Source organism: Homo sapiens, chromosome 3 (assembly GCF_000001405.40).
Source record: "Homo sapiens chromosome 3, GRCh38.p14 Primary Assembly".
NCBI classification, from domain to species: Eukaryota; Metazoa; Chordata; class Mammalia; order Primates; family Hominidae; genus Homo; species Homo sapiens.
The window spans coordinates 33,871,405-33,882,953 of record NC_000003.12 but is presented as its reverse complement, the minus strand read 5'-3'; the positions used below and the strand labels follow the sequence as shown (position 1 = coordinate 33,882,953).

The 11,549-nt window shown below is 42.0% G+C and overlaps 1 long non-coding RNA gene across 1 annotated transcript; it reads right to left on the bottom strand.

The window, feature by feature from the left end:
• Window positions 1-2,678: 2,678 nt before the first annotated feature.
• LOC105377024 (uncharacterized) lies at window positions 2,679-4,100 on the bottom strand. Its single transcript, XR_940701.3, has 3 exons — window positions 4,057-4,100; window positions 2,972-3,052; window positions 2,679-2,841 (listed from the first exon to the last, which is right to left on the bottom strand). It is a non-coding gene; the product is annotated as an uncharacterized LOC105377024 (long non-coding RNA).

The window sequence follows — 11,549 nt, the reverse complement described above, 5'->3', positions numbered from 1 at the left end:
ATCTGAATTAAATGGTCAACCCAAAACATTGTATCCAGCTGAAGCAAATCCAAAAAAGTCAGGAGCACCAGCTTCTGTCCTGTCTTGGCTGAACATCCCCCTGTTGAAGTGAATTTCAGCAAAATAAAGTGTAGAGAGGACTGGGGGCAGAGGAGGGCCAATAAACCCAGCAAAGTCTCCACAAGCGTGGGGTGGTGGGGGCAGGTTTGCCTGTACTAGGAATAATTAAAACAGCCAAGTGTCTGAGCACCTACCAGGGCCAGTCTGTTCAGCTTTCTACCACTCTCAAGAAGGGATTATTACTCTCATTTCAACAGTGAGGCAATGGAGGCTTAGATGCAAAAGTCTTGCCCAGAGTCATACGGCTGCTTGGTGGTGAGGCCACCACTGCCTCCCAGAAGACCCCATGGGTCCCCACGGCTTGGGGAGAAAAGCCAGTCCACAGGGAGGCTCCCTGTTGTATCCGTGCCTCTGGGAGAGGCAGCGAGTAGGCAAGACTGAAGGTCAGTTGAAGGCCCCACAGCCACAGATAGTGACTCCCACAGCACAGCACCCATGGCCCACAAAGGACGCCCTGGATGGAGCACCCAGACCCCTCTCTATAAGCCTCTAATCTGCCAAGGAATTCCGCATCAAGTCCAAATGTACTCCTTCTCCCTGCTGAGCTATCTAACCCTCATCTGACCACTGCTCTCCTGTGCTTACAATTTCTTGAGGCTTTTTACATTTAATTGAGGTCTCCTGCCTGCTGCCCCTTCTCACCTCTGAACCCCTCAACACATGCCTCTTTGTCTGAAATGCTCCACTGCCCAGCCGGCACAAGCACCACCTTCCCCACTCCACATGAAAGCACACACAGAGAGGGCAGCAGTCTCCCCTAGGAAGGAGCACCAGTGGTGTACTACCAACTACTCTTAGGCCCACCCTGGATTCCTGCCCCCAAGCACTCCTCAGCCATTAACATCAACTGCAAGATTTCTTGATGGCTGAACACCCTGTGAAATGTCCCATGTCTCCCCACATGTCCCAGTGGCCTTGTCAGGACCAATCCCCAAGGACGGTATGCCTGGCTAACCTCACCGTGCCCCCCACCGGTAGGCCCCCGCCTCCCACAAAGGGCAGAGGGTAGACCCTCACTCTTGGGACCCAGAATCAAAAGCCCATTTCCCAGGAGTTTGGGAGGGTCCTTCAGGATAATTAGCTTTGGTGACATGTCAGCATGTGCTGGCCTGAACAGCAAGGCCTGGGTGCGAGCCACCAAAATCAGCTTTTCTCTTTGACTGGTTTCCGTCACCCGTTAGTACCCAGCCTTTACAGCGTCTGTGGTTGGGAGCAGGTGTGAGGGTGAGGGTCTGTCAGATAGAGCTTGGAATGGGATATGCCACTCAGGTTTGTCCACACCGGTTCTGAAGACACAGCCCTGGCTTGTGAAGTCTAGCACTGAGGACGAGCCCCTGCACCCTGTCCTCACTGGGTAGGTGCAGACACTTTTCGGCAGCCCACTGTGTGCTGGTGATGGTTGCAGCATCAAGAAAGCCTACTCTGGAGCTCTGAGTAGTCAGACTCAGCACTGAACCTTCCTGTGCTCTGAAAGCCCTGGGGCCCGAGGGCCTCACCCTTGTGATGTCACTGAGCTCTGCAGTTTCTCAGCCTCTGATCTGGTGCATCTCAAAAATGGGCCCCAGGGATCAAATAAGCGTCTTCTGACACTAAAAAGTTGATTAACTTCTGGTGCATCTCAGAAATGGGCCCCAGCAAGACTCGAATGCTCTTCTACTGGGGCCAAGTGGGAGCTTCATTCTCCCCAAAACACCCATTGTTTCCAGTGGGTTCATTTCCACCATGACAAAACAGCCTTCCCCACAGGTGGGGCAATGCATTGGCCTAGGCCTTACATGGCATGACCAGGCTGGGCCACTGTAGGAATATTCTTGAATGCCAGGATTCAGGTTCTTCTCTCTCAGTCATAGGGTATTTTGCCTGGGAAATAAGAAAAAAAAAAAAAAAGAAAGAAAGAAAGACGGAAGAATCTCAACACTGTGGAATAAGTGATTTACCTCCTCTCCATTCTGGTGACCCTCACATCTGACCAGTGGGTGAGAGCATTCAGGCTGCTCTTCAAACTCAGCTTCGTCTTCATCCCCTTCCCAACAGCGGCTTCTGAGAGCCTTATTTCTGCTCAGCAAATCTCCAATGGGCGTCATCATCAGACCATGGGGTGCAGTTGTGTGTGATGTAAATATTCTTTGCCATTCCAGAGATGGACCAAATGTGGTGGGTGGATGTGAATTGAAGCCCACCAATCCAGGGACACAAGAAATATTCACTGATTGATTGATTGATTGATTGATTGATTGATTGAATTTGTTTCTGCCTCAGAAGCTCATTCCTCAGGGTGCTGAGAAATTCCGTCTCAGTAATTACTGGTTCCCCACACAAATACCCCAGGGGTTGCCAGGCACTCCCTGGGCTGCTGCCTGGCCTCGCTGTCCCTTCAGATGTGGAAGCTCCACTGCGTTTGAAGCATGATACCTCTGGGAATGCTGTGATCTCCTAAACCAAAACCTCATCCCCTCTGAAATGTTACCACTCCCTTTGACTCCTGCCAGAGACCCCAGCTTCTGCTCCCACCCACCCTCCAACCCAACAAACAATCCCAGGGGCAGGAATATGCAACGGGTTTAGCCACCTGGCTGGAGATGAAAACAGGGACAAATACAAGAGCACTGCCACCCACAAATTCACATCTTAATACAGTATTCACTTGCAAACCTATCCTTCTAGTTCAATATCCTTCTCTTCTGGAATGCAAATTCCCAGGCACAGTTTAATCCCCAGCACCTAGAAGAGTAAGTAGTCTCTCAACATATAGTTTTGAATGACTGGGAAGAAAAAAAAAATGAAGGAATGAGAACAAAAGTCTTTCTACAAAACAAAACTCCATGAAACAGGAGAAACTTTGAAAACTAACATCTAACTGCAGTGAGATCCCAGCTTCATCACAGGCCAGTCCCAGGTACTCAAGCTCCCCTGTGCCTTGTTTCTTCCTCTCCTGTAAAATGAGAGATCAAATCAGTGGCCACCTCACAAGTGGTGCTCAGCTAAAATAAGTTAATGGACTTTAAATTCTTAGAAGAGGACCTGTAACATGACAAGCGCTCTATAAACATTAGCTGTTTTCAGCGGCAGAGGCAAGAGCAGCAGTCAAGAGGAAGCTACACTTGTTGGAGCAGTTCAGATGAGAGGCAACAGGGTGAAAGAAACCTGAGCCCCAGCTCAGCTACTTGGCAGCCATGTGGCCTTGGACAAGTTGCTCAGCTTCTCTACAATGAAGCTGACTCCTCTGTTTTCAATGAATATGAATGAAAAAATACCATTTTCATAGGGTTCATATGAAACTTCAATGAATTACTACTGGCTGGGCATGGTGGCTCATGCCTGTGTGAAAGGAAAATCTTGGAAATCTTGGGGCTCCAAAATTACTAAGCTAAAGGGAAAAGTCAAGCTGGGAACTGCTTAGGGCCAACCTGTCTCCCATTCTATTAAAAGTCAACCTTCTGCTCACTGAGATAAATGCGCATCTGATTGCCTCCTTTGGAGAGGCTAATCGGAAACTCAGAAGAACGCAACCATTTGTCTCTTATCTACCTATGACCTGGAAGCCCCCTCCCGGCTTGAGTCTTCCTACCTTTGCTTCAAGTTGTCCCCCTTTCCAGACCAAACCAATGTTCATCTTATATATGTTAATTGATGTCTCATGTCTCCTTAAAATGTATAAACCGAACTGTGCTCTGACCACTTTGGGCACGTGTCGTCAGAACCTCCTAAAGCTGTGTCACAAGCACATGTCCTCAACCTTGGCAAAATAAACTTTCTAAATTAACTCAGACCTGGCTCATATTTTGGGGGTTCACACCTGTAATCCCAGCACTTTGGGAGGCCAAGGCAGGAGGATCACTTGAGGCCAGGAGTTCAAGATCAGCCTGGGCAAAATAGTTAGACCCCCATCTCTACAAAAACAAAAATTGAAAATTAGCCAGGTGAAGTGGCACACACCTGTATTCCCAGCTACTTGGGAGGCTGAGGTGGGAGGATGTTTTTGAGCCCAGAAGATCGAGGCTGTAGTGAGCTATAATCATGTCACTGCTCTCCAGCCTGGGCAACAGAGTGAGACTGTCTCTGAAAAGTAAAAACAAAATGAATTATTCAAACACTCACCAGTGCTTAGAACTAGCAAGTGCAAATACATAGTTGATGTTGAGCGAGTCACTATTGTAAAGTCAGCCAAGAGAAAGGACCAGTAGACCCAAAGTCAAGCAAGTGAGTTTACTGACCTGCTGGGCTGCTCCTTGACAGGCAGAGGAGGCAGCCCTGAGCTCATACGCTGGGGTGGTTTATGGGGGTTGACTGTGGGGGCTGGTATGGCATACATTCTGCGTAAACACACATCCTAGAGTTGTTTTGCTAAATTCTAACAGCGCTGCATTATTTCTAGCTCAGGTTACGTAACATCTAAAGGAAATGGGGAGGGGGAATCCTTGCAGGAACAGGGGGCTAATTTTCAACTAACAACGATTATATAAAAAAGAGTGGCTACCATGATATCAGTGAAATCAAGCAGCTACTATCTACAGGGGAAAATGTGAGATCAGTAAAGATTGTACCAAATCATAAAATATCATGGCCATATTTGAAAATGTTTTGGAATGCTCAACATCACTAATCATCAGAGAAATACAAATCACAACCACAATGAGATGTCATCTTACCCAGTCAGAATGCTACTATTAAAAAGACAAAAATAACAGGTGTTGGTGAGGATCCGAAGAAAAGGGAACTCTTATACAGTGTTGCTGGGAATGTAGACTAGTACAGCCACTATGGAAAACTGCACAGAGATTTATCAAAAAGCCTAAAATAGGAGAGATGGAGCAAGGTGGCCAAATAGAAGCCTCCAGCCATCATCCCCTCTGCAGGAACACCAAATTGAACAACTATCCACAAAAGAAAGCACTTCACAAGAACCAAAAATCAGTGGTTGGACATATAACAACATTCTCTATAAAAAAAGAGTATATTGAGAAGTAAAACTTAGTGATGATTTTATTAAAAATGTCAGTCCCTAATCATTCTTACAGTATTTTGCTATGTTGAGAATGTAAAAGAAAAAAAGTAAATTGCAAAAAAATTATATCTATAAGCAATTTAAAAATCTTTAGTATTAAAGAGTTAATTCAAAAAAATGGTTTTTAGTTTTTTTTTTTAAACTAAAACTAGAATTGCCACTTGATCCAGTAATTCCTCTATTGAGTATCTACTCAAAGGAAAAAATATCAAAATACCAAAGGGGCACCTGCACCCACAGGTTTATGCAGCACTATCCACAATAGCTAAGGTATGGAATCAACCTAAGCACCTATCAATAGATGAATGGATAAAGTAAAGAAACTGTAGTATATATATACACAGTAGAATGTCATTCAGCCATAAAAAGCAAATACAATTATGTCATTGGTAGCAACACGGATGGAACTGGAGGTCATTATCTTAAGTGAAATAAGCCAGGCACAGAAAGACAGATACCACATGTTCTCACTCAAATGTGGGAACTAAAACATTTGATCACTTGGAGGTAAAGAGTGAAAAACTAGACAACAGAGACTGGGAAGGGTGAGTGGGGGCAAGAAGAAGAAGGGAAGTGGGGTAAAGGGCACAAACGTAGAATAAGATGGAATAAATTCAGTGTTTGATCGCAGAGTAAGGTGGTTATGCTTAACAGAAATGTATTGTTCTTGGGTGATGGGCACCCTGAATATCCTGGCTTGATCACAATGCATTATATACATGTATCAAAATGTCACATGTACCCCATAAGCTTGGACTAACTTTTTAAAATGCATTGGTGACAGTGTGTGGCAGACCAAGTGCTGCAGAAAAAGGAATTGTGAATTAGATTATTTCAAGAAACTTCTCCAATCAAGAAAAAGGTGGAAGATTAAAATAATGGGTAAAAAATAATAGTAGCTAACATTACTAAACATTTATTATGTGCTACACAGATAGAAAACATGTGGAGAGATCTAGTATCTGTAACAATAGAGATTCCAGAAGGCAGTCGAGAGCACATGGAAGAGAAGTGAAAAATCCTCCAAGCTTACTAAAGGCTTGAGTATTTGTATCCAAAGCTCATCTGGACTTCTGGGGTTCTGCTCTGACATGTGAAGAGCTCAGCAACCACCCCTTCATCCTCACAACAAAAAAGAGCTGAACAAACTGAAAATCAACAATTCTTTTTTTAATCCACCAGAGAATTGAGATCACAGGGCAAACAAATAGCCCCAAGACTGGAGAAACAGACAAATACAGAAGCAGGAGCCGAAGCCACTGGAGCCAGGATCTAGGAGGAAAAAAACTGTAATGGACAAACTGCTGGAAGCTGAGTGGGGCCTAGACTGTGTGTTAAAAACTCCTGGGGCCCAGGCCCAGAGGGGCCCCCATGTTTTCATGAGTTTCACCTGCAAAAGCCCTACCAGGGTCTCGTGGTGAAAATTTGGGGGAAATCCCCTGATGCTTCCAGCAGAAGGGGAAAGTAACCATCTGAGCATTCTGTTCTCCACTTGCCCTCAAGGGAAACTATACTGGTTACAATGTAGGGGAAAGGAAATACAGTCCCCACTCTGTGTCCATAGGTTTTGCATCCCTAAATTCAACTAACGTTAGACCAAAAAAAAATTTTTTTAATTGTATCACTACTGAACACGTACAGACTTTCTTTACTTGTCATTATTCCCTAAACAATATAGTAAAACAACTACATAGCATTTACATTGTATTTGGTATTATAAGTAATCTAGAGATAATTTAAAGTATATGGGAAGATGTGCATAGGTTATATGCAAATACTATGCCATTTTATATCAAGGACTTGAGTATCCATGCACTTTGGTATTTGTGAGAAGTCCTGGAATCAAGCACCTACTGATACTGACAGAGACAACTGTACCCAACTCCAGCCCCCTTTAACTAACTTCCTGTCTCACCTAAGGAGTAAAACAAAAGCTGGGAAGCACTTGTGAGGGTCACAGGCCATGGCCACAGGCTCCTTGAAAGATTGAGACCAAATCACAGGATTATAGAACACTTCTACCCTCACACCTCAACACCACATCAATAAGGCTCCTGTGTGACAACAGAGATTACAGCTGAAACAACTGCAAGCCTGAGGCTCTGTTTAAGAAAGAATGTCTAGGGAAAACCAAAAACAACAGGGAAAACAAAAATGAGGACACTGAAGAAAACTGAAATCTCAGACATCTACAGCTATGGTAAGTGATAAACACAGCCAAGTTCTTAGCCAGATAAACATAAACCCTTATCCTAAAGATCTGTTTACCTCAGGTCCTTTTAGCCAATATATCAAATCTGCCTTTCAACAGTAAATTACAAGGCACATTAAAAGGCAAGAAAAACACTCTGAAAAGATAAGCAAACAACAGAACAAGACTTACATATGGAAAAGATTTTGATACTATTTGACTGGGAATTTTAAATAACTATACTTAATATGCTAAGGGTTCCAATGTAAAAGTGGACAGCATGCAAGAACAGATGAGTAATGAAAGCAGACAGCTCGAAACTCTAAGAAAGAAATGAAAGAAAATACTAGAAATCAAAAGCCCTATAATATAAATGAAGAATGCCTTTGATGGGCTCACTGGTAAACTAGATACAGATGAGAAAATATTCAGTGAGCTTGAAGATATGTCAAGAGAAACTTCCCAAACTGAAATGCTAAGAATGAAAAATTGGAACAGAATAGCCAACAACTGTGGGACAATAACATAACATGTAATATATTCACAAAGAGAACACCAGAAGCTGAAGAAAGAAAGGAGAAGAATAAATATTTGAAGTAATAATGGATTAGAATTTTCCAGGATTAATGACAGATACAAAACCACAGATCCAGGAAGCTTGGAGAACACGAATCAGGACAAATACAGAAAAGTCTACACTTTAACAAATCATATTCAAACTTGCAGAAAACCAAAGACAGAGAAAATCTTGAAAGAAAGCAGAGAAAAACCTGCCTTACCTATAGAAAAATAAGGATAAGAATTCCATTAGACTTCACAAACAATGCAAGTAAGAAGAGAAGGGAAATATTTACGGTGTTGAAAGAAAATAATCACCAACCTAGAATTCTGTATTTGGCAAAATTATCCTTCAAAAGTAAAGGAGATGATCATAGACATAAATATAAAACACAAAACTACAAAATTTCCAGAATATAACATAGGATAAAAGCTAGGTAATCTAGGGTTTGACATAGATTTGATATAACACCACAAGCACGAGCCATGAAAGAACTGGTAAGTTTGACTTCATTAAATTAAAAACTTTTGCTCTGTGAAAAAGCTTTTGCTCTACAAACTGGAAGAAAATATTTGCAAAACACATCTGATAAAGGAACTACATTAAAATATACCCCAAAAAAGCATTAAAATTCAATGAGAAAATCCAATTCAAAAATGGATAGAGGTCCTGAACAGATGTCTCACCAAAGATACAAGATGGCATATAAGCATGTGAAAAGATGCTCAACGTCATAAATCATTAAGAAATTGCACATTAAAAATAGTAATATACCACTACACACCTATTAGAATGGCTAAAATCCAAAAATCTGACAATACCAAATGCTAGCGAGGATGTGGAGAAACAGGAACTCTCATTCAGTGCTGGTGGGAATGCAAAATGGTACAGCAACCTTAGAAGACAGTTTGGCAGCTTCTTACAAAGCAAAACATAGTCTTTTATGATCCATGAATTGTGCTTCTAGGTTCTCACCCAAATAAGTTGAAATTTTATGTCCATACAAACCTGCACATTAATGTTTATTCATAAATGCCAAAAACTGGAAGCAACAAGTGTGTCTTTCAAAAGGTAGATGGATAACCAAACTGATATATCCAGTATTCTCATACAATGGAATATTACTCAGCACTAAAAAGAAATGAGCTATGAAACCACAAAAAGGCACAAAGGAAACTTACATGCCAAGAAGGCGGTCTGAAAAGGCTACATATTGTATGATTCTAACTGTATGACATTCTGGAAAAGACAAAACTATACAGACAATAAAACGATCAGTGGTTGTCCAGGTTGGGGAGAAGGGTGAGTAGGTAGAGCACAAGGGATTTTTAGGACAGTGAAACTATTCTATATGAGACTGTGATGGTGAATACATGACATTATGCATTTGGCAAAATCCACAGATGTACAACACAGAAGATGAGCCTTAACATAAATTATGTACTTTAGTTAATAATAATGTGTGAATACTGGGTCATCAATTGTAATCAGTGAGCTACACTAATACAAGATGTTAACAAGAGGAGAAACTGTGAGGGGGTGGGGTAAGCGGGGTATAAGGGAACTCTATGCTTTCTCCTCTATTTTCTTTAAACCTAAAACTGCTCTTAAAAAAATCTGTTTTTTAAAAAAAGTTCATACATTACCAGGTAATTTGAGTAAAGACAGATCTTTGCTGGAGAAAAATTTCAACTCTAATGGTTAAAAGTTTTGTAACACATTACTTACAAGGAAAAAAAGGCAACAGATATCTCTTCCACAGCACTGTGGTCTGTTTCCAAGTGCCTTCCCTTGTGCAGTCGCCTCACTTCCATCTACATTGTATTTCCTTTCTGAAAACCCCAATAGTGATAAAAGACACTGTTATGGAAAGGGAATAACATAAAGACCCTAAAATACGAAACAAGAAATAAGAAAGTGAATCTTCCTTTAGGAACCAAATACTCTTTCATTAAAGGGAATGGTGCAGCCAACGCTGGGCCCACGTGGCCTTTGTGGAGTCACCACCGTGTTGTAAATTCCCACCTTCCTGCTGATGAGAGAAGCTAGAGGATGCAGTATACTCGGTATAACCCAGGGAGCAGAACAAAGAAGTTGCTAATAAACCAAACTGAGTATAATTTATTTCCTGTTGCTACGATAATAAACTACCACAAACTTAGTGGCTTAAAACAACACAAATTTATCTTACAGTTCTGGAAGTCTGAAGTCCAAAATTAGTCTCACAGAACTGACGTCAAGGTGCTGACAGGCCTGTGTAGGCCTTCCTTCTGTAGGATCTAGGGGTGAATCTTCCTTCCCTTTCCCAGGTTCTAGAAGCTGCCCACTTTCTGTGGCTCATGGCCCCATCTTCTTAGCCAGCAGCATTAGGTCAAGTCATTTTCATTCTGCCATCTGTCCTTTTCTCCTTTTTCCATCTCCTCCTTCCACTTTTAGGAAACGGAAATCACACGGATTCAGCCTGATAATCCAAAATCATCTCCCTATTTTCAAATCAGATGATTAGCAATCTTAATTCCCCTTTGCCAAAGAGCCTAACGTATTCACAGGTGCTGGGGAACAGGACACGGACATAGACAGGCCATTATTCTGCCTGACGTTGTCAAAAGGAATTAAATGTGGTTATGCTCTGTTCCCTTTCTAGATATAGCTATTCTCTGTGATTCAATGTTACAAGTTTCTTGCTGAAAAACTACTTAAATATCAGCCTAAAATGCAAATCTTTATAAAAAATTATGATATATACCTTGGATAATTTTGAAAGAACATGAAAGCATAGTGGGATTAGAAATTGGCAGCGATTCAGTACATGTTACTGTTCTTAATAATGTCAAGCGTAGCTGAACTTAGAAATAATTCTCTAGCTAAAAACAGTCTTTGGTCTCTATGAAAGAATAAAACTCCAGTTTTAGATGCAACTATCACAATTCATTGTGTGCCTTCCACAGAGGGTCACAACACACCTGCTTCTGGGAGCTGTTAAGTCTAAATACAATGTGAACCCTGTGCGCCCTGGTAGTGGAGACTGTCTTAAGGAAGAAAACTGGGTCAAGGGACAGGGGCAGGAAGGACACTTACTATCATACACCATTTTCTACCTTTTGAAATTTATACCGTGTATTGCCTATTCAAAAAACATACTACTTTTAAAAAGAACACATTATGCAGCCCAGTCCATTGTGGGAGGCTGATGAAGGCTGAAGGGGCCATTCTTGTGCACCCCTCTTCTTCCAGGGTTCAGTGGAAAAAGAAGACACTGGCCCCTCAGGGAGTTCCTCATCCAGAATCACTGGCACCTGCTGGCAACAGAGAAGCCCACAGGCTGGAGGCAGAGTAAGACTGGTCTAAGAGAGAGGGCAAGACCAAACCTCCTGAATGTTCAAAAGCATCCCAAGAAGGGAACAAGAGAAGAGGACCAGCTATAACCAAGTTATAATAGACCATGTTTACATATTTTATAAATCGAGTAATAAAAAAATGCAAACATTAACAATTATAATCGAGATGTACAATGTAAAAATAATAGTGCATTAGCAATTATGAGCCTAAACCCTGTTTATAAGTTTTCCCTTCCCCATCCCCCTCCTTTTTTTTTTTTTTTCAGACAGAGTTTCATTCTTGTTGCCTAGGCTGGAGTGCAATGGTGCGATCTCAGCTCACTGCAGTCTCCGCTT